The 22,990-nt window shown below is 44.8% G+C and overlaps 1 protein-coding gene across 19 annotated transcripts in view, besides 3 other annotated features; it reads left to right on the forward strand.

Moving 5' to 3' along the window:
• Window positions 1-15,324, forward strand: part of TMEM268 (transmembrane protein 268) — a 42,519-nt gene extending 27,195 nt beyond the window's left edge. For 10 of the 19 annotated variants that reach the window (XM_011518351.3, XM_047422925.1, XM_011518350.2 and 7 more), the window contains 4 exons: window positions 2,670-2,780; window positions 5,892-5,972; window positions 7,446-7,628; window positions 12,036-15,324. In XM_011518351.3, the coding sequence (XP_011516653.1) occupies window positions 2,670-2,780; window positions 5,892-5,972; window positions 7,446-7,628; window positions 12,036-12,215 (555 nt within the window). In that variant the 3' untranslated portion in view covers window positions 12,216-15,324. The remainder of the gene's footprint in view (window positions 1-2,669; window positions 2,781-5,891; window positions 5,973-7,445; window positions 7,629-12,035) is intronic. The other 9 variants (XM_011518353.2, XM_047422923.1, XM_047422927.1 and 6 more) reach the window with 2 other exon arrangements.
• Window positions 22,242-22,748: an enhancer, noted in NCBI's record as "NANOG hESC enhancer chr9:117415620-117416126 (GRCh37/hg19 assembly coordinates)". NCBI's record gives its function as "activates a minimal SCP1, AML or CMV promoter by ChIP-STARR-seq in primed H9 embryonic stem cells {active_cell/tissue: H9 hESC(primed)}" and the evidence as "EXISTENCE:reporter gene assay evidence [ECO:0000049][PMID:30033119]".
• Window positions 22,576-22,625: an enhancer, noted in NCBI's record as "active region_28874". NCBI's record gives its function as "activates an Ori minimal core promoter by ATAC-STARR-seq in GM12878 lymphoblastoid cells {active_cell/tissue: GM12878}" and the evidence as "EXISTENCE:reporter gene assay evidence [ECO:0000049][PMID:35858748]".
• Window positions 22,636-22,715: an enhancer, noted in NCBI's record as "active region_28875". NCBI's record gives its function as "activates an Ori minimal core promoter by ATAC-STARR-seq in GM12878 lymphoblastoid cells {active_cell/tissue: GM12878}" and the evidence as "EXISTENCE:reporter gene assay evidence [ECO:0000049][PMID:35858748]".

Consider the following 22,990-nt stretch of genomic DNA (forward strand, 5'->3'; position numbering starts at 1 on the left):
GGCCCAGGAGTTTGAGACCAGGCTAGGCAACATTGTGAGACTCTGTCTCTACAAAAAATAAAATCAGCGGGGTGTGGTGGCACATGCCCATAGTCCTGGGAGGCTGAGGTGGGAGGATTGCTTGAGCCTAGGAGTTCAAGGCTGCAGTGAGCTCTGATGGCAACATTATACTCCAGCCTGCCTCAAAAAAAAAAAAAAAAAAAAAAAAGATTGGCTGGTTTGTAAAGGCAGGCAAGTCCTGGCACATTGCTAGGACACATGAGAAGTTCCAAGTTCCTACAAATATTTGCGGCTAATATGGCACAGTGAAAACACAATGATTTAAGTTCACTGTCATCCTCACTGTGATATTATCAGCTGACATGTGTTAAGTGTTCAATTCTTTCAATTATTCTACATGGATTAACTCATTTCATCCTTATTATACTCCTCTGAGGTAGGGGCATTATTATCTCCATTTGGGGGTAAGGAGATGGAGGCACAGAGATGTTTAGTAATTTGCCCAAGGTTATATGGGCAGTGAGAGGTACGTTAGGAATTGAACTATTGGTGATACAGATTTCTAGAAGGAAGAAATCCACATCAAATCCAAATCCACATCCAAATCTTCTTACTACAGATCTAGGCAAAACAAAATATAATTATTCCTCAATTTTCATAGTAGAGGCATTCCTGGAAAATTCAGTGTACATTAAACTCATGCAAACAATCACGTTAAGTGGCTGGGCGTGATGGCTCATGTCTGTAATCCCAGCACTTTGGGAGGCTGAGGTGGGAGAATTGCTTGAACCTAGGAGTTTGAGACCAGCCTGGGCAACATAGTGAGACTCGATCTCTACAAAAAATTTAAAAGTTAGCTGAGTGTGGTGGCATGCATGTGTGGTCCCAGCTGCTTGGGAGGCTGAGGTAGGAAGATCTGAGCTCAGGAGGTCAAGCCTGCAGTGAGCTGTGATCGTACCACTGCATTCCAACCTGGGTGACAGAGCGAGACTAGGTCTCCAAAAAAAAAAAAAAAAAAATCACTTTAGGTATAAATGTAAACTGGAGTTAGGTTGGCTGACCAGAGAATTCTAAGTAGATTTTTTTTTATCTGCATGTATGCTCAGTGGGACATTTGGAATCCAGGCAGCCCAGGGGACAGTCTTGAACATGCAGAATGGTTTCTAATAGGACATGTCTTTCAGTGGAAGGCATGGGTTCAGAACCCCTGGCCCTCATCCACTAAGTGCCAGCACTGTCCATCCCATCCCTGTGACAACCAAAGGGTCCTCCTTGCATTTCCAAAATCTCCCTTACAGGGTGCTGCCCCTTTTGAGAACTATTATTCTTGATCAGGCTGCTCTCTTCTAACTGAGTCTGAAAGTCCTCTTGTGCTTACTTCCCCAAACCAGCATTTGGGGTCCTCTTGTCCCTCCTCTTCTCCCCCACCTGTTTAGCATCCACTCTCCCAGCTGAATGCGTGGCGTCCATTGGTTTGGGTAGGAGAGCAGGAGGCTGATTCCCAGAGCCCCACCTGAGGGCCAGGCGCTGTGTTAGGTACTTTAAAGTAGGTGCTTTCTAGATGGAGTGAGTGCTTCACTTACACAACAGATTTGATGTGTCAGCTCAAACAGATCAAACCCATTTGATCTCCCATCTTCCGCAAATATCTTATGAACCTTGACAGAGTCCCAGGCCCTGGGTTAAGTACTTTACACACAATCTCAGTGAAATCTCACTCCATTCCTAGGAGGCAGACACATTCTTTTATTCTACAACTGAAGAAAATAAGGTTCAGGGAAGGGACATACCTTGTCCAGGGCCATATAGCTAGGAAGCAGCAGAGCTGGGCTTTATCCCAGGGCTGTCTGACACTATTGAATTTACTGTTCCAACTATCCCCCATCTCATTTTATTTTTCTTCCCTTATTTTTAAGAGATAGAGTCTCACTCTGTCACCTAGGCTGGAGTGCAGTGGCACAATCATAGCTTACTATAACCTCACACTCCTGGGCTCAAGTGATCCTCTCGCCTCACCCTCCCAAGTAGTTGGGACTACAGGTGGATGCTAACATGCCTAGTTAATTTTTTTTTTTTTTTTTGAGACAGAGTCTCACTCTGTTGCCCAGGCTGGAGTGCAGTGGCGTGATCTCTGTGCACTGCAACCTCTGCCTCCTGGGTTCAAGCAATTCTCCTGTCTCAGCCTCCCGAGTAGCTGGGACTACAGGTGTGTGTCACCACGCCCAGCTAATTTTTGTATTATTAGTAGAGAAGGGGTTTCACCATGTTGGCCAGGCTGGTCTCGAACTCCTGACCTTGTGATCCACCTGCCTCGGCCTCCCAAAGTGCTGGGATTACAGGCGTGAACCACCGCGCCTGGCCCCACGTAGTTAATTTTTAAACAATTTTTTATAGAGACGGCATCTCGCTACATTGTCCAGGCTGGCCTCAAACCCCTGGCTTCAAGAAATTCTCCTGCCTTAGTCTCTCAAAACACTGGGATTACAGGCATGAGTCACTGTGACTGCCTCCACCCCCGACCATTTAATAGGGGAGGAAATGGGACAGTCCTGAGGGTGGGGATTGTCCCTTGGCATCTGGGGGTGGGATGGTGTGTTTCTACTGCCCAGAGCCTGGGAGCTCCCCAGTAGCATGGAGGTCTGGTGATGGGCCTGGCGTTTGTCTTACAGGCCAACACCAACACGGACCTGAGGCTGGCAGCTGCCAATGGAGCCCTCCTGAGACACCGGGTGCTGCTGGGGGTGACAGACACAGTGGAAGGATGCCAGAGTGTGATTCAGGTGCTGTGTCTCATAGTTACCTCTTCCTGATGGCCCAGTTTTATGTTGGGCTAATGGAGAGCAGTGGCCTCATGTTCTCCCAGCCTACACAGTGTTTGCAGTAGTCTGCTAATGAGATGGCTGTTGGCAGCCCTTTCCTTCCTCCCTGCCCTGGTGTTTCTTCCTCAAGACACCTTCTCTGTGCAGTAACCAGTGGCCTGGAACCTCCACGTGGCAGGGCTGGAAGGGAAGCACAGATAATGTCCACACCTTGCTGCTCACCTGGCATTTATTCAGCAGACGGAGCCTCCTCTGTGCTGTGCCCTCGGTTGGACACTGGCGACATTGAGGGGCCCATGCAAGGTCCCTGTCCTGGCAGAGGATGACAGGCATACAGTGAGACAGTCAACAGTAGCCTCTCTGGCCTTATAGCAAACGGACAGCCCCCAACAAGGCTGAGAGGCAAGGTACACAGGGTCCCTTTGAAGGGCTGCATGGAGCTCACCATGGCTGGGGCTATACCAGAGTGACACAGCGGGGAGAGATGAGGCCGGAGAGGCAGGTCAGATGCTGAAGGCCTTGTTTGCCTGGCTTGGTCATTCTCTTTGCCCCGAAGGTTGGGGGGAGATCTGAAAGTGACTAGTATGGCGTGGCAGGGTGGGTCAGAACACAGTTAGGCCAGATCTCCTGATCCTGGCTGAACTCTCCTGTTCCTCCATCCATGCCTGATCTGCCCAGTGGAATTGCAAAACCTCCTTGGCACCACATCTGCATTCTCACCAGTCATGGCCCCTTGCCTGGTGGGAGCCCAGAGGTAGGTGTGCACGGGGGACCTGGGAAGAGGCTCCTCATGCACCTGCCTCAGTTCCTCCACGAATGTTTATTGAGAGCCTATTGTGTACCAGGCACTGTCCCAGGGATTGAGGCTGCAGCAGAGAACACATGCAGGTCCCTATGTTTGTGGAGCCTATCACACCCAAGATGGTGTAGGTATAAGATGATCTTGCCTATCATTGGAGTGAAGCAGATGACATCACAAGATTCTCGGCAGTTCAAGTGTGACATTGTAGACTGGGAGCTCCTGGAATGTGGGGGTCCTTTTTAGCCTCGTTTATCTTTGAATCTCCTTTATCCGTTGGCACGTAGGAGTGGCTTGACATGTGTTAGATGAATGCACGGATGGATAGATGACTAAAGAATGGGCTGGGCGTGGTGGCTCACATCTGTAATCCCAGCACTTTGGGAGGCTGAGGCGGATGGATTGCCTGAGCTCAGGAGTTCGAAACCAGCCTGGGCAACGTGGTGAAACCCCGTCTCTACTAAAAATATAAAAAAATTAGCAGGGCGTGGCAGTGTGCGCCTGTAGTCCCAGCTACTTGGGAGGCTGAGGCAGGAGAATCACTTGAACCCGGGAGGCAGAGGTTGCAGTGAGCTGAGATTGTGCCATTGCACTCCACACTCCAGCCTGGGCAACAGAGCGAGACTCCATCTCAAAAAAAAAAAATAAAAACAAAACAAAACAAAAAAGAGACACATCAGGTGGGCTCAGTGGCTCACCCCTATAATCCTAGCACTTTGGGAGGCTGAGGCAGGTGGATTGCTTGAATCTAAGAGTTCAACACCAGCAGCCTGGGCAACATGGCAAACTCTGTTTCTACAAAGAGTACAAAAACTAGCTGGGCATGGTGTCGCATGCCTGTAGTCCCAGCTACTTGGAAGGCTGAGGTGGGAGGATCACCTGAGCGCGGGATGTCAAGGCTGCAGTGAGCTGTGATCGCGCCACTGCGCTCCAGCCTGGGTGCCAGAGTGAGACCCTGTCTCAAAAAAAAAAGAATGGACACATCTTTTTAGACAACTTGAGTCTTTCAGTTTCTAAATAGTATCTTGGGATGAGGTGATACACTATCTGGCATGTCCTTCAGATTCACTGGGGGGTGCAGTGGAGGTTGGGGTGTTGGGGACGGGTACCGAGTGAGGATGGAGATGAACCAAGAGTGGCCATGAGGTGACCTAACAGTTGCAGCGGGAGGATGGGTTGCTGTCATCTACTTCTGAATATGCTAGGAAATTTTCATAGTAAAAAGCTTTAAAGGAACCATTTGAGAAATCCTCCCTTGTGGGTATGACATTGGGAGACTAGTTGGCAAGAAGGCTGTGACTTTGGGTCTCATGGGTCAGTCAGTGGGAGGAAGGAGGTCTGGGAACCAGAGGAGGTGGCCAGTGGATGGGAGTTTGGGGCAAGGGCCACCAGTTTCTCCAAGAACTTCAATTAGGATGTGTGGCAGCTGTGGTCTTGACAGGTTGTCGTAATGTGAATGTGGAAGATTTCAGCCTGGTTAAATTTAGCTTGGCCGGCCCCTGGGGTGGAAGGGGAGGCACAGGTGGGGTACGGACTTCTCACCCTGCTTCTGTCCCCACAGGCAACCAGGTTGATTACCTCAGACCTGGTTGTGGGCCACAGGTGTCAGCTCTGAAGGGTTTCACTCATTTGCATGTTCACGCCCCGCCCATTGAGGATGAAGGTAGCCTCAGGTGGACAGGTGATGTCCAGGAGGGTTCGGAGTCTGTCTGGGATGCTCAGCAGCTTGTGGGAAATGGGGCCGCAGCCATTTTGAACAGGGTTTAACTTTTTCTTTTCTTTTCTTTTCTTTCTTTTCTTTTCAGACAGAGTCTTTCTCTGTCACCCAGGCTGGAGTGCAGTGGTGTGATCTTGGCTTACTGCAACCTTCACCTCCCAGGTTCAAGTGATTCTTGTGCCTCAGGCTCCTGAGTAGCTGGGATTACAGGTGTCCACCACCACACCCAGCTAATTTTTTGTATTTTTTGTAGAGATGGGTTTCACCATGTTGGCCAGGCTGGTCTTGAACTCCTGGCCTCAAGTGATCTGCCTGCCTCGGCCTCCCACAGTGCTGGGATTACAGGTGTGAGCCACTGCATCTGGCCTAGGGTTTGACCTTTTCTAAACGTGCACACAAAGCCATTTTTCTACCAACCATACAAATGAGACATTGTCATGGTGCCAAATGGCACCTTCCTGCCAGACAGCAGGCTAAATAGGACTGTCTCAGGGAGGAAGAGTTCAGGGTTGGGCTGCCCTTGAGCCACGGTGGTCACTGCTGCTTCTCCCCACAGCTTTGGTTTGTCTACTTCGACCTGGAGAACTGTGTGCAGTTTTTGTCTGATCATGTTCAAGAAATGAAGACTAGCCAAGAGGTAAGATATCTTCAGTGAAAAAACAAAACAAAAACCAGGAGGCCAAGTTGTATCGATTTCATTATCTTAAGGGTGGGAAAATGTCTGAGAAAAAGTTACTTGGAAGAATACCTACGAGCAATCAGTGGTTGTTTTGCCTAGGGAATTATGGCTGCTTTTCTGCTTCTTTTTAATGCCTCGCTTCTTCTACATTTCCTATGGTGAGCATATATTTCTTCTTTTTTTTTTTTTTTTTTTCCTGAGACAGAGTTTCACTCAGTTGCCCAGACTGGAGTGCAGTAGAGTGATCTCTGCTCACTGCAGCCTTCGCTTCGTGGGTTCAAGCGATTCTCCTGCCTCAGCCTCCGGAGTAGCTGGAATTACAGGTGCCTGCCATCACACCTGGCTAATTTGTTGTATTTTTAGTAGAGACGGGGTTTCACCATGTTGGCCAGGCTAGTCTTAAACTCCTGACCTCAGGTGATCCGTCTGCCTTGGCCTCCCAAAGTGCTGGGATTACAGGTGTGAGCCACCACGCCCGGCCATATATTTCTTTATAATTATAATATTAATAAATTTTGGTGGATTCCAAAGTATCATGCATTGAGGCAACTTTTACTTGTTCACAGTGCCTTTCTACCGTTTATTAAGAAAATCAGAGGGATCTTGCTCTGCTTCTACAGAGGAGGAAACAGGCTCCGGGATGACCTGTTACCGGCCTGTGGTCATGGAGCTGGCTGGTGATGCCCAGGTTTGGAGGCCAGGCCTCCTGTCTCCAAGCCCTGGGCTCCTTCTCTAGGATTAGCCTTTTCTGAGCCCCGGCTGCAGTGAGTCTTGAAGTCAGAGTTGTGACTTAGCCCTGAATTTGGCTCATTAGTTCCTGTGTGGCCTCAGGCAGGGCCTTTGAGTCTCAGTTTATTCATTTGCAACATATGGATAAAGATACCCACATCCCAGGCTGCTTTGAGCAAGTGAGAGCATGAGAGGAAAAATATTTGTTTGTTTGTTTTGAGGCAGAGTCTTGCTGTGTCACCCAGGCTGGAGTGCAGTGGCGCCATCTTGACACACTGCAACCTCTGCCTCCCAGGTTCAAGCGATTCTCATGCCTCAGCCTCCTGAGTAGCTGGGACTACAGGTGCGTGCCACCACACCAGGCTAATTTTTGTATTTTTAGTGGTGACTGGGTTTCACCATATTGGCCAGGCCGGTCTTGAACTCCTAGTCTCAAGTGATCCCTCTGCCTTGGCCTCCCAAAGTGCTGGGATTACAGGCATGAGCCACCATGCCTGGTTATAAAAGGAAAAATATTTAGAGCTATTAATGACCATCTGTAGGGAATTATGTAATATCCCGAATGCGACCAGCTTTTTCTGAGGTCATCATCTGAGTCTGAGACCTCATCTTCTGCTCGGTCTGCAGCTTGGGGAGGGACTCAGCCTCGCAGATACCACCTGATTTAGGCACTCCTGAGCCCCTTCTCTGTTTCCTTTGCAGTCCTTGCTGAGAAGCAGATTGAGCCAGTTGTGTGTTGTCATGGAGACTGGGGTGAGCCCTGCAACAGCGGAGGGGCCTGAGAACTTGGAGGATGCTCCTCTCCTGCCCGGCAATTCTTGTCCTAACGAGAGGCCACTCATGCAGACTGAGCTTCATCAGCTTGTTCCTGAGGCTGAGCCGGAGGTAACAGGCACTGGGGCTTGTTGGGGCCATCTTCCCTCGGGGGAATTTGCATAGAGAAAGCCTATGTGGGGGCTTCTTAGATTCCCCAAGACATGCTTCTCTCAGTTAGTAGACACCACACAAATCTAGCTCAGGAGTTTTCAATCTTTTCATTCTTCACCCTAGCACTTAAAAAGATAGTTAACAGGAAGCATTTTATATTTATTGGGACTTTTTGTTGCATTATTTAATATCTTGGATATTCTTTTTGATGGTTGCATTGGATGGGTAGTTGCATGTTGATAGATTATAGCTTACTTAACCATGAACATACTGATGAACATTTGGGTCTCAGTCAATCAATTATTTATTCATCTATCCAACCATTCATCCATCTACTTTAATTGCAGTTAGACAGTTGACTCTTCTTTGAATTTTTTTTTGTTTAGAACAGGGTCTCACTCCCGTCACCCAGGCTGGGGTGCAGTGGTGTGATCACTGCTCATTATGGCCTCAACTTCCCAGGTTCAAGCAATCCTCCCACCTTAGTCTCCTGAGTAGTTGGGACTGTAGGCATGTGCCACCACACCTGGCTAATTTTTTGTATTTTTATTAGAGGCAGGGTTTTGCCATGTTGCCCAGGCTGGTCTCCAACTCCTGGGCTCAAGAGATCTACCCACCTCAACCTCCCACTTCTTTGCATTTCTGTTGAATTTCAGTTCCTGCAGCCCCAGAGTTCTGTTGGGTCCTGCCATCCACACTGTCTCTTGGCTATGGCTAAGCACTGGCAGACCAGAATTCTGAAAATGTGCAGCTTGTGCTTACCTTCTTCTCATGATGAGGACAGACCCACTGTCAGGGAGACAAGCAGTGATGGTGACCTCAGGTGACATTTGAAACTTCAGAAGAGCACTTATATCTTTTCAGCCAAGAGATTTGGGGATTCAAGGTCCAAACCAGTCCAGGCTTACTCTTTTGTGCTGGTGGGCAGTAGGAAGCCTGCAAGTAGTACTATTTAAAAGAGAAAATGACAGGAACATGCGGTGGCTCGTGCCTGTAATCCCAGCACTTTGGGAGGCTGAGGCGCGAGGATCATTTGAGTCCAGGAGTTCAAGTTGATCCTTCCGCCTCAGCCTCCCAAAGTCCTAGGATTACAGGCATGAGCCACCATGCCCGGCCTCTATTAAAATCTTTTATCTTTTTATATTAATTTTTAAATTTTTATTTAGAGACGGGGTTTTACCATGTTGCCAAGGCTTGTCTTGAACTCCTGAGCTCAAGCGATCCACCCGCTTCATCCTCCCAAAGTGTTAGGATCACAGGTGTGAGCACTGTGCCCTGCCAAAATATTAAAAAAAAAAAAGAGAGAAATGATAACTGTATTAACCTCTTCACTTTATCCTATTGACTTTTTTTTTTTTTAAAGAGAAGAGATTGATAAGGTTGTGTACTTTCTTGTGACATGCGTGTGTGGGTTTTTGTGCAATAGCCCTTTAAATATGGGTCTTTTAAGTGATTATTTTTAGATTTACTCAAACCAATAGTAATATAATTTCCTATCATGAGTATCAAGTGTGTGCACATGTTTTTAAAGTAGCTGCCCTTATAATTTAGTTAATGAAAATATAATCGATGCCCAAGTCTCAACCTGGGCCAGATGGTCACATTTCAGTAGGAACCTAGTGTCTGTAAAAGATGGAAAGATAGCGATAATGACCTCTTACATTTTTACAGATTTTTCTCATGCATAAAATTCATTAGCATACTCTTCGAGGTATGAATTATTTTCCCTTTTTCCTTGGTGGGTGAAATAAGGTTCCAAGAGGTCAGCTGACTGGCCCAAGGTTGCCAGAAAGGGAGAGTGCAGTAAGCCCATGGCAGAAGCCAGCCCTGCTGATTCTAAGTAGGCCAGTGTTCTTGCTACAGTTCCTTGCTTCTTACATTATTGATTTTAGAGTAAACTGGCGAGAAGACCAATCTGAGTTAGTGAGTGGTAAACTATTTGAAGTGTTTTATATTTTCTAGCACAAAGGATAACTTGAAACAAAAGCTAATCTTATGAACCATGTGGGGTTTCTGCTTTTTTGAGTGATAATGATGGAAAGATATTGATGCCATTTGTGGAGCACTAGGCACTGGGCTCAATGCTTTCTGTCTATTAGTCTCTCTCTCTCTCTTTTTTTTTTTCGAGAGGGAGTTTTGCTCTTTTGCCCAGGCTAGAGTGAAGTGGTGTGATCTCCGCTCACTGCAAACTCCATCTCCCAGGTTCAAGCAATCCTCCTGCCTCAGCCTCCCAAGTAGCTAGGATTACAGGCGTCTGCCATGATGGCTGGCTAATTTTTGTATTTTTAGTAGAGATGGGTTTTCACCATGTTGGCCAGGCTGGTCTTGAACTCTTGACCTCAGATGATCCACCTGCCTCGGCCTCCCAAAGTGCTAGGATTACAGGTGTGAGCCACCGCGCCCGGCCTCTATTAGTCTCTTTAATCCTCACTGTAACTTAGAGGGGTCAGTGCCACTATTTTCCTTATTCTACCAATGAAGAAATGGGCTCAGTAATGTGAAGTGACTGCTCTGGGTTAGTCATAGAGTGGCTGAGTTGAAACTCCCTCTTGGCCTTTTTGACTTTAAAGCCTATCCTTAATTACTAACTCTACAGACATACCTAGCGTAACCCACACTTCATTTCATTACATTCAGAGTGGACACAAGTATTGCAAAAGAGCTTCAACCCCATGCTTAAGGAAGTTAAGCATTTCCCCTGAGATCCCATCTTCTAGACCAGTGAATGGATCTTTACAGACCAACTGTGTTAATAAGAATGTGCATTAAGGCCTAGCGCCGTGGCTCACGCCTGTAATCCCAACACTGTAGGGAGGCCAAGGCAGGAGCCCAGGAGTTCAAGACCAGCCTGAGCAACATAGTAAGATCACATGTCTTTTTTTTTTGAAACGGAGTTTTGCTCTTTTTGCCCAGGCTGGAGTGCAATGGCGCCATCTTGGCTCACTGCAACCTCTGCCTCCGGGTTCAAGTGATTCTCCTGCCTCAACCTCCCAAATAGCTGGGATTACAGGCATGTGCCACCACACCTGGCTAAATTTTTTTTGTGTTTTTAGTAGAGACGGGGTTTCACCATGTTGACAGGCTGGTCTTGAACTCCTGACCTCAAGTAATCTCTCCTGCCTTGGCCTCTCAAAGTGCTGGGATTACAGGCATGAGCCACTGTACCCGGCTGTACTGTGTCTTTAAAAAAGAAAAAAAAAAGTACATTACATTCAATTTTTTAATCCTTTTTTACTTAAAATTGTTTTATTGTGGCAAATATACATAATATAAAATGTACCATCTTAACCATTTTAAGTATATAGTTCAGCAGCATGAGGTACATTCACATCGTTATGCAACCATCACCATCAGCCATCTGCAGAATGTTTTCCTCTTCCCAAATTGAAGCTCTGTGCTCATTAAACACTAACTTCCCCTTCCCTCCTTCCTCCCCACCCTCAACCCCTAGAAACCACCATTTTACTTTCTCTCCCTGTGAACTGATTACTCTAGGTGCCTCCTATTAGTGGAATCATACAGTACATGTCCTTTTGTGATAAACCTAATTTTTATAAGCAATCTCTTTTTTCCCTTTTTTATGTTTTTCTTTCTTTTTTTTTACTGTCAGTGATCATATTTAAATGTAAGCAGTTTCTTTTAATATGTTAGGAGTACTTGTGTAAAGAAATCTACCAGGTACCTTGTATGAATTAACTAATTCTGCTATAATGGGAATATTCCTCTCCCCACCTCCACATTTAACTAGTAATTTTCTTCAAGTGAGTCACTTTGATCTCATGTACTTTACAGACTCATAGACATTTGAAAGTGGAAAAAATGTATTTGTGGCTGGCTAGGTTTACTTTCTTTTTATATTTTTAAAATATATTTTTAATTTTAATTTTATTTTTGTAGAGACAGAGTCTCGCTCTGTTGCCCAGGCTGGTCTCAAACTCCTGACCTCAAGTGATCTTCCTACCTCGGCCTCCCAAAGTGCTGGGATTACAGGTTTGAACAACCATGCCTGGCCAGCTAGGCTTAAAAAATTAGATAATTAGAAATTTGGTAATTTCTCTAGGGCTTCGAGGTTGCATATTTTTTTTGTGCGTATTATTATTGCCATTCAGCAGTTAGTTACTCACCTTGGCAACGAGGACATTGAGGCTGCAGGAGCCCCACAGGCCATGAGTTGCAGAACTGGGCTTCTGGACCAGGCTGGCATCTTCTGAGAGTCCTAGGTGCTGACCTGGCCTGGTTCTTCCTAGAGAGCATCACTGCTGGGTCCAGGGGCAAGAAAGCAGCATGTCCTTCCCCTGGTGCCTAAGCCCTTTTTCCTCAAGGGGCTCCCCTGTGGTATTCAATCTGCTTCCCTGCCTCTTCTAGGAAATGGCCCGCCAGCTGCTGGCAGTGTTTGGCGGCTACTACATCCGGCTTCTAGTGACCTCCCAGCTCCCTCAGGCAATGGGGACACGACACACGAACTCTCCGAGAATTCCATGCCCCTGCCAGCTCATAGAAGCCTACATCCTAGGCACAGGGTGCTGCCCGTTCCTGGCGAGGTGACCTAGGGATGAAGGTACTCATCTTCCTTCAAGACTGAGCAGTCAGGAAGGCTTCAGGAGCCCAAGATGGCCAATGGGGAGCCCCAGGTGAGGAGAGAAGCATCTGGGGGCACTCCAAAAGGGGCCTGTGATGTCAGCCACTGGGGTGTTGTGCTCACTTCAGGGCCCAGCACAAAAATCCTTGTTTGACATCTCATGCTGACCCCCTGGCCTTTGCAGAAGCTGATGGTTACAGAGCTAGTCCCACCAAAGCTACTCTCTCTGCTGCTTAGAACTGTGGACACGTATGGAAAGACTGGACCCCCATTGCTTTCATTGTTCAGAGAACCCAGGAGACATGAAGATGACCAGACTGGGCAAATTATGTGTCCAAAACTTGGCCTCAGATGATGTTTCCATCTCCAACCCCTTCATGCCAGATGGGGAAACTGAGGCTCAGAGAGGATACTGCTCTATGTGGCATTGCCTTGAACCCCTAAAATTATCAGACTTCCTTTTTCCAATATAAAGAAAAAAAGTAAGTTTTCAGAATTCTCTCAATTTTTAAGTTTTTCTCCCCCATATTTTGTGAAAAGCAGTGGTATGTGTACGTGTTGTCTACCAGTACACAGGCTGCAGAAGACAGAGACAGAAGAAAGAGATCAAGGGCAGATAACTGTTGATAGGAATATTTGAGAAAGATTGATCCTGTTTGACTTGAGGACTTATTTTGTTCACAGGCATGCACGCTTGTGGTTGTGGTTTTATATTACAGATGTAGAACAATGGTTATGTTTCCCGACATGAACATTGTCCTGGAATGAAGTGTGATCAGCCACTTGTGGAATTCTTTGAAGAGCTCAGAGGCTTCCAAGTGATCTGCTCCTGAACAAGTTTGAAGACCTATTGTTTCATAGACCCAAGACCAAACGCATCTAAAGGATCCCCAGCCCCCAAGACCTAGCCTTTGTCTGCGATTTTGGCTTCATCTCCCACAAAACCCCTTTATGAGTTCACGCTCTTTCCTGGACTGACATACCTATTCCTTTCCATTTGTTGGACTCCTATTCATGCTTCAAAGTCCAGCTTTCTTAAGCCCTTCTTTAGGAAGCCTTCCCACACAGCCAACCCTGCTGCTCTCTGCCTCCTTTAAATTCTTGATACAGCTGCTGCTTGTTCTGATGTTTTATGGTATTGATTCTGTTTTCCTGTGTATATGCCAGTTTTTCTAGCTAGACTGTAAACTCCTTAAGGACAGAGACTACACCTTGTACTTTTTGTGCATGACCTGGACCTGCTAAGGAAAAAAAAATCTTGTGGATTGATTGCTTTGCCATCCCCACAGCAGCTTTTGCAAATTGCTTTCCAAACTCACTTGAATGATGACATTGCTGTGGACCTGGGTTCTGGACCTGATCTGCCACTTCAAGCTGTGTAATTTTTGGCAAGTTGCTTTCTTTGCCTGGTCCTCAGTTTGCCCATCAATATAATGGGTGGATTGGATGATTTTTTTTTTTTTAATTGAGATGGAGTCTTGCACTGTCACCCAGGCTGGAGTGCAGTGGCGCGATCTTGGCTCACTGCAACCCCCGCCACCTAGGTTCAAGTGATTCTCATGCCTCAGCCTCCCAAGTAGCTGGGACTACAGGTGTGCACCACTACTCCTGGATATTTTTTTGTGTTTTTAGTAGAGATGGGGTTTCGCCATGTTGGCCAAGCTGGTCTTGAACTCCTGACCTCAGGTGATCCACCCGCCTCGGGCTCCCAAAGTGCTGGGATTACAGACGTGAGGCACCACAACCAGCCTGGATGATTCTTAAGGGCCCTTCTAGGACCAAAGTTCTGGGAATTTCTAGCTTATTCTGCCCCCTCATAGCCCTTGGCCTATCTATCTTTATCCACATGCAGAAACATCTGGCAACCCCACATGGCTGAGATGACCTGGTCCTAGGACACCCTTGGACAGAAGACTGGCCTACCTAGCAGACCTGGATTTTTCTTCCTGATCTGCTGCTTCCAAGTTGTGTGACCTTGGCTAAGTCACTTAACCTTTCTGATTGTCATTTCGCTTTTTAATAAAGTGGGTCTGGTGAACAAGAAATGTAATAAACACGTGGCTTGCCATTCAAGAGATGAGTCTGACCATTCACTTTCTGTGTGCCAGAGAAGAGAGATCATGGGTATAGACCAGCCCCTGGAAAGGCTGCTTTGGTCAAGGCTGAGAGCAGCTTTGCTCAAGGAAATTATTCACGAAGGTGACCACTGTCTTTCTGACCTGGCACAGAGGAAATGTTGGCTGTGAATGTGACCAATAGAAAGAAGCCCGTATTTCTCAGTCAGTCCTAGAACCCCGGTAAGTAATTAACAGAGAATAAAAATGTGTTTGTTAAATGACAAAGCAGCAGTTTTTCAATTGTAAGGTCTGCTTGAGAGCCTTTGATGTGTGTTTCTTTTCCTGACTTTTCCTTTCTTTAGAATTTTTGATGGTCTCACCTGGTGGGTGGGGCTTTCAGGGTATGCCCACAATGTACATTTCTCGGCATCTGTGCCTCAGTTTCCTCATTTATAAAATCCCTATGATCTCTGTCTCACCTACTTTACAGGGTTGCTGTGAAGATCGCATACTACACACAGGAATGCTCATCAGTTTTTAAATTTTATTTAATTTTTATTTATTTTTTTTTAAATGTAATTTTTTCAGAGAGATAAGGTCTTGCTATGTTACCCAGCCTAGTCTTGAACTCCTGGCCTCAAGTGATCCTCCTGCCTTGGCCTCCCATGCTGCTGGGATTACAGGTGTGAACTACCATGCCCAGCCAGCTCCTAAGTCTTAAGGCTCTGTGTTAGTGATAGATGTGGCCATGGTGTAGGCAGTGCAATGTCTTCGAGTGAGAGTGAAGGTGGTAACTCATTGCATGGATTCTAGAGTTCTGTTTATTCTAATCCAAGTTCTTCCACTTAAAAACAATGTTCTTCCTCTCATTGAGTCTCATTCCTCATCTATAGGATGGGAATAAGAGCATGTACCTGGCAGGTTGTTGTAAGGATTAAATGGTGTAAAAAAATGTCAAGTGCTTGCAACTTTGAATACCAAACTTGAGTGAAAGCTCAATAAATTGTTACTTAAAAAATTTTTTGTCTCGCATATTGTAGATACCTGATGTATATTTTTGTTGATCTAGCAGGTCATTAACCGTTAAGGTTATTCAGTCTGCCTCAGACCTCAGCTATTTCAGTGCCATGGGGTATATTTATGTCAATAAAGATTTTAGTCAAATCTCTGGAATTCAGCATCCAGAGATAATATAGCAAGGAGATAAAGAGCAAGCTGGTGACTTTGGGCCAGATACTCACTCTTACTGTACTTTCTGTACCTAATTTCCTCATGTATTAAGGGGGGAGTGTGATAATAAGGGGGATTAACGGGAGTGATTGATGTGAAGCACAAAGCCTGGTCCACAGTAAGGGCTCAGTCAGTGGGGGCGTTTCTTCTGCAGCTGCTGGCTGCTGTTGGCTCCTAGTTTATGTTATCCTATGTTATCTTATAGTTGAGTGTTTTTACACTTAGGTCTGTGATTCATTTTGAGTTAGTTTTTCTGAAGGTTGTAAGGTCTCCATCTGGATTAATTTTTTGCATATTGTTCCAGCACCATCTGTTGAAAAGACTCTCTTTGCTCCATTGTATTGCCTTTGCTTTTTTTTTTTTTTTTTCAAGGATCAGTTGACTATACTTATGTGGGTCTATTTCTGGGCTCTCTATTTGTTCCATTGATCTATGTGTCTGTTCTTTCCCAATAACACACTGTCTTGATTACTGTAGCTTTATAGTAAGTCTTGAAATTGGGTAGTGTGAGTCCTCCAACTTAGTTCTTCTCTCCCAATGTTGATTTGGCTATTGTGTGTCTTATGCCTTTCCATGTAAACTTTAGAATCAGTTTGTCAATATCCACAAACTAACTCACTGTTTATTTTGATTGGGATTGCATCAAATCCATAGATCAAGTTGCAAGAACTGACATTTTCACAATATTGATTTCTATCCACAAACATAGAATCTGTCTTCATTTATTTAGTTGTTCTTTGATTTCTTTTATCAGTTTTGTAGGGGTTTTTCCCTTTTCCTACAGTTTTTTTTTTTTTGGTAATTTTTCTTATAGATCTTGTACATATTTTGTTAGATTTATAAGATTTATACCTAAATATCTTATTTTTGGGGGTGCTAATAAAAATAGTATTGTGTATTTAGTTTCAAATTTCATTTGTTCATTGCTAGTTATGGGAAAGTGATTGAATTTTATCTACTCACATTGTATCCTGCAACCTTGCTATAATCTCTTATTAGTTTTAGGAGTTTCTTTGTTGATTCTTTTGTTGATGAGATAATCATCTCACCTGTAAACAAAGACAGTTTTATTTCTTCCTTCCTCATCTGTATATCTGTATACTTTTTATTTCCTTTTCTTGTCCTATTTCATTGGCTTGGACTTCCAGTATGATGTTGAAGAGTAGTGGTAAGAGGGAACATTCTTGCCTTGTTTATGATTGTAGTGGGAGTTTCTAGTGTCTCACTATTTTTTGTTTGTTTGTTTGAGACAGAGTCTTGCTCTGTTGCCCAGGCTGGAGTATAGTGGTACAATCTCAGCTCACTGGAACCTCCACCTCCTGGGTTCAAGCAATTTTCCTACCTCAGCCTCCCGAATAGCTGGGATTACAGGCCTGCACAACCATACCTGACTAATTTTTATATGTTTTATTTTTTTATTTTTTTATTTTTATTTTTCTTTAGTAGAGATGGGGTTTCTCCATGTTGGCCAGCCTGGTCTCAAACTCCTGACCTTAGGTGATCTGCCCTCCTTGGCCTCCCAAAGTGCTGGGATTACAGGCGTGAGCCACCATGCCTGGCATTCACTATTAAATATAATGTTAGCTCCGGACTTTCTGGTAGGTTTTTTTTGTTTTATTTTGTTTTATTTTGAGACAGTGTCTTGCTCCATCACCAGGCTGGAGTGCAGTGGCCCGATCTCACCTCACTGCAACCTCTACTTCCTGAGTTCAAGCAATTCTCCTGCCTCAGCCTCTGGAGTAGCTAGGACTATAGGCGTGTGCCACCACGCCCAGCTAATTTTTTTGTGTTTTTAGTAGAGATCGGGTTTCACCATGTTGGCCAGGATGGTCTTGATCACTTGACCTTGTGATCCGCCCGCCTCAGCCTCCCAAAGTGCTAGGGATTACAGGTGTGAGCCACCATTCCCGGCCCTAGTAGGTTTTTTGTTTTGTTTTGAGACAGGGTCTCACTCTGTTATCCAGGCTGGAGGCTGGAGTGCAGTGGCACAATCATAGCTTACTGCAGCCTTGATCTCCCGAGCTCAAGCAATCCTTCTGAGTAGCTGGGTCTATATGCCATTTATTTTTTTTTTTGAAATGGGATCTCACTCTGTCACCCAGGTTGGAGTGGAGTAGTGGGATCTTGGCTCACTGCAACCTCTGCCTCCCAGGCTCAAGTGATCCTCTCACCTCAGCCTCCTGAGTAGCTGGGACCACAGGCATGCACCACCATGCTTGGCTACCAAAAGGTAGAGACAGGGTTCTGTCATGTTGATGTTGCTCAGTTTGGTCTTGAACTCCTGAGTTCAGGTGATCCACCCACCTTGGCTTCCCAAAGTGCTGAGATTACAGGCGTGAGCCACTGTGCCTGGCCTGGGCCACCACATCCAGCCATAATTTTTTAGTTTTTTGTAGAGATGGGGTCTCACTATGTTGCCCAGGCTGATCTTGAACTCCTGGAGTTGATCCTCCCACCTCAGCCTTCCAGAGTGTTGAGATTTCAGGCCTGAGCCACCATGCCTAGATGAGATATTCTTTAACAAGTTGAGAAAGTTTCTTCTCTATTCCTTGCTTACTGAGAGGAAATTAGCTTTCTTTTGATTAGTCATTGCGTAGTATATCTTTGTTCATCCTTTTACTTTTGACCTTTTCACATTCTTATATTTAAGGTTTCACCCTTGTAGGCATGTAAGATTTGCTTTTTTGAAATTAAGTTTTTTTCTAATTCAAAGTATTTACTACACTATATCTAATGTGTTTACTGATAGACTTAGGTTTGAATGTACCATCTTACTAATAATTCTTTCTATCGGTTTTTCTGTTACTGTGTTCTTTTCTTTTTTCTGTCTTTTTTCCTTGTTTTGGATTAAGGTTGTTTGTTTTGGGTAATTTCTCCTTTATTAGCATATGAAGTATACTTTTCTTTCAGTTCTTACCCTAGATTTAACAAGCATCCTTGACTTACTGAAGTGTATTATACATGATCACTTCTATCATTTCCTGGATAACCCAGCGACTACACAATTTTTTTTTTTTTTTTTTTTGGAGACGGAGTCTCCCTCTGTGGCCTGGGCTAGAGTGCAGTGGTACGATCTTGGCTCACTGCAACCTCCGCCTCCCAGGTTCAAGTGATTCTCCCGCCTCAGCCTCCCGAGTAGCTGGAATTGCAAGTGTGCACCACCACACCCTGATGATTTTTGTATTTTTAGTAGAGACAGAGTTTCACTATGTTGTCCAGGCTCGTCTCGATCTCCTGACCTTAAGTGATCCACCTGCCTCAGCCTCCCAAAGTGCTGGGATTACAGGTGAGAGCCACCGTGCCTGGCTCCAACAACTATACAATTCTTTCACCTTTCTACCTGTTACGGTAGTCTTGTCATGGATTTCAATTTTCTATGTATTTTAAGCCACAACAGACATTCTTATTAATGCTTTCTATAGTCAATATTCATTTAGATTTATTCACATGTTACTTTTTATTGCTCTTTGTTACTTCAATTTTATTGCCCTTTGTTCCTTTCTGTATTTCCATACATCTATTTTGGATCCTGCTTCTGGAACTAACTTTAGAATTTTTCTTCAATATAGTATCATATTTAGTATAGTATATTTAGAAATACCTTTAGTATTTTCCTTTCAGTACAGATCTTATGGTGACAAATTCAATTTTTGTTTGCTGAGAAGTCTGTATTTTGTTTTTATTTTTGAAAGATATTTTTGGTAAGTAAGGAATTCTAGGTTAGTGCAGTTATTTTCTTTCAACCTTTTGAAGATGTCATTGGTTTCTGTTGCTTCTGTTGAGAAGTCATCTGTCAGCCCCATTGCTGCTCTCAACATTTTCTCTTTGCATTGAGTTTTAGCAGTTATATTCTGATGTGCCTAGCTGTAGCTTTTAAAGTATTTTTCCTGCTTGTGCTTGTTCATAGCACATCTTGAAACTGTGACATGATATCTTTCATCACAGCATTCACCCTCTTCTCTCTCATCTTGTTCAGGACTCTAATGATAAGTGTTAGACCTTTTCACTATATCTCTAAGACCCTTCTTGGTATTTTTCCATTCTTTTGGTTCTTTGTGATTCAGCCTGGATATTTTCTACTGACTCGTCTTCTCCATTAATCTTGCCCTCATTTGTGTTTAATTCTATCAATGGAGTTTTTTTGTTAACCCTATGTTTCATTTAAAAATCAATCCAGTTTCTAATTTTTTTATCTTTTTTTTTTTTTTTAAGAGGCAGGGTCTTGCTCTGTTGCCCAGGCTGGAGTGCAGTAGCACAATCACAGCTCACTGCAACCTTAAACTCCTGGGACCTAAGACTCCCAAGTAGCTAGGACTATAGGCAGGTGCCACCATGCCTGGCCAATTTTTAAATGTTTTGTAGAGACGGGGTTTTGCTGTGTTGCCCAGGCTGGTCTTGAACTTCTGGCCTCAAGTAATCCTCCTGCCTCTGCCTCCTGAAGCACTGGGATTACAGCTGTGAGCCACCATGCCCAGCCTGAGTTTTTAATTTCATCCATCATAATGTTCAGTTCTATAATTTTGTTTTTTTAGAAATAGTTTCCAGTTCTCAAATGAAATTACCAATCTTGTCATCTATTCTCCTCAATATTTAATTGTACTGCTTTTAAAGTTTATGTCTGCAAACTCTAATATCTGGTTCTTTTTTTTTTCCTTTTGCTTTTCAGTCAGTTGGTCTTATTTTTTGATATTCATGGTAATTTTTCATTAAATGCTAGACATTTTGAAAAATGAAAATTTTGAAAAATTGAAGAGATATACAAGGCTCTGGATCTTCCCTCAGGCAGGATTTACTTTTGCTTCTGGGAAAAGTAGGCTTGAGATAAACTTGACCCTGGGCTTTGTGAGAGCTAGTCTAGGTGTGATTAAACCTTACTCTCAGGTTGTAGCCCTACAGGGGTTTTAGCTGAAAACGTGTGTGTGTGTGTTTATAAAACCAGGACTCCTCTTTCATGGTGAGTCCTAAACCTCCAATTTTTGTTACCCCAAGCTGTGAGACATTTTTTTTTTTTTTTTTTTTTTTTGAGACAGAGACTCGCTCTGTCTCCCAGGCTGGAGTGCAGTGGCATGATCTTGGCTCACTGCAAGCTCCGCCTCCCAGGTCCACGCCATTCTCCTGCCTCAGCCTCCCCAGTAGCTGGGACTACAGGCGCCCACCACCACACGCGGCTAATTTTTTGTATTTTTAGTAGAGACGGGGTTTCACTGTGTTAGCCAGGATGGTCTTGATCTCCTGACCTTGTGATCCACCTGTCTCGGCCTCCCAAAGTGCTGGGATTACAGGCGTGAGCCCCCACGCCTGGCCGCTGTGAGACTTCTGAAAGCTCTACTCAACTTTTCAGCTACTTGGACTCTGCTTAGGACTCGGCAGGTGCCTCAAGGGGATAAGAAGGCTTCGGTGCTCATCTCCTCTCTCTACTTTTCTCTTCAGCATCTTGGCCCCTCGTGTCCTGACTATGTTGATATCTCTCTGATGCATTCAAACACATTTAAGAAAAAAGAACAATTGCTTTTAAACTGCTGTCAGCAGGAGGGTTGGTCTGATACAAGCTAGTTTACCATGATCAGAAGTAAATCCAGCTGTGGTTTCCATGATTATTTTTATTGTTACTATTTGAAAATCCTTCAAAGAAAGATGTCACCCTGTGGCTGAGAGCCCTTTAAAAAAGTCACAGGATGGAGGCTTCTTTGCATCCCTTCTGTGAAGGAGTTTCTAAATTATCAAAGCAGGAAGTGACATTTAAGGAGCATCTTTTTTGTGTAAAGCACCTGCTACAGTTGTTGCAGAAAGCAGTCCAAGAAATAAGGAATATGGGGTTTGCTGGGGAAGGAAAGTGGGACCTTCGCATGAGAGGAGGTGAGGAATGCATAGGACAAGGGGAATCTGGGTAAGAGGGTGGGTCCAGGGGATACAGTATGAGAATGGGCAGTGGAAGAGGACTCTGGACATGAGGTCCGGGAAAGTGAACTGTATCTTCACCCAACAGATGCCAGTGGGGTCTCATCCCATGGGGAAGAGGTGCCACGATGCAGTGAGCTGACAACTCCACACACATGTTGTAGGCCTCTCTGCTTCCTTCCAGCTATAGTTCTTTTACCTTTTCCTGCTAAATATTGCCAACCTTCTTAATATGGTCATCTGGATGTCCCATAGGCCCCTCCAGCTTGGAATAGCCCAAAATTAAGTGATCTGCTGTTGTTGTCAACTTGGCCTCAATACCACAAGGACCTCATTCCCTAGAATCTTCTTTCCTGTATGGTTCTGAGTTAGAATTGGCCAGCTTTGCCTGAGAAATATGACTCAAGGTCCTCTTATTCATCCTGACTGCTGCTGCCCTACTTTAGGCCTGTATCACTGTCTGTCCTGATTGCCTAGGCAGTCGCTTAATTTGTTTTGTTTTGTTTTGGTAGAGATCGGGTCTTGCTGTGTTGCCCAGGCTGATCTCAAACTCCTGGCCTCAAGTGATACTCCTGCCTCTGCCTCCTGTATTTCTGGGGCCACAGACATAAGCCCAGCCTCTTAATTTGATTTCTGCATTAGTCATGATCCACTTGGGAGACAGAAACCACATAACAATTTGAATATGAGAAGATTAATATAAGTACTAACTAGAACAGGGGATTGGAGTAATGAAGGAGTGGTAAGAAGTCAGGAGAGCTTTAAAGAATATAGGAATAATGGACATAAGGAGCAGCCAGCACCCCTAGAACTAAGAAAGAACACCCCCAGGCTCTATCCCCAGCTGAGATCCAGATGTTGCTGGGAAGGGCATGGCTGTGCCTCACAATGGCAGAGAAGTCTGGGAGAATGTTCTAGAAGTCTGCCCTTGGGTGCCAGGGAAAGCTGTCATGGAACAGTGTCTGATTAGAGGCACACCTATTTGTGGGGGCACTAGGAGAAGCTGCTAGTTGCCAAGTGCTACTGACCACCATCCTCTGCAGGATTCCTGTTCTGGAAAAGTTGCCTGCACTGCGGGAGGGTGATGTTGGAGAAGCTGTGAGCTCTGTGCTGTTAAGATGAGCCCAGCACAACCAGAAAGGAAGGCCTCTTCCTCCTCCAATGTCTCTAGCTCCCCCTCCTGACAGAGCCTAGCATTGCACCAACTACCAAAAGAAAAATATTTAAAGGGCCAGCTCCATTTTTGAAGAGCAGGCGATGAACAGTAAATTTGGGGTCCAGAGTAATAACTGAATGTCATTCTACCATTATCGAGGGGCCGCATAACCAAGTTGTTAAGAGTGTGGACTCTGCAGTTGGGTTTCTTGAGTTAAAGTCTTAGCTCTGGCACTTAATGTGAGTTAGTGTAAACCTTAAAAGATTTATTTAACCTGTGTCTCACTTCCCTAATCTGTAAAATCAGGTAGTAACAGTTCTAACCTTGTTGGGTTATTGTGCTGATTGGGTTGATATTTATGAAGCACTTGGAAGAGGATCTGGCACAGAGTAAGCAAGGA

This window comes from Homo sapiens, chromosome 9, assembly GCF_000001405.40.
Source record: "Homo sapiens chromosome 9, GRCh38.p14 Primary Assembly".
In the NCBI taxonomy this organism is placed as follows: Eukaryota; Metazoa; Chordata; class Mammalia; order Primates; family Hominidae; genus Homo; species Homo sapiens.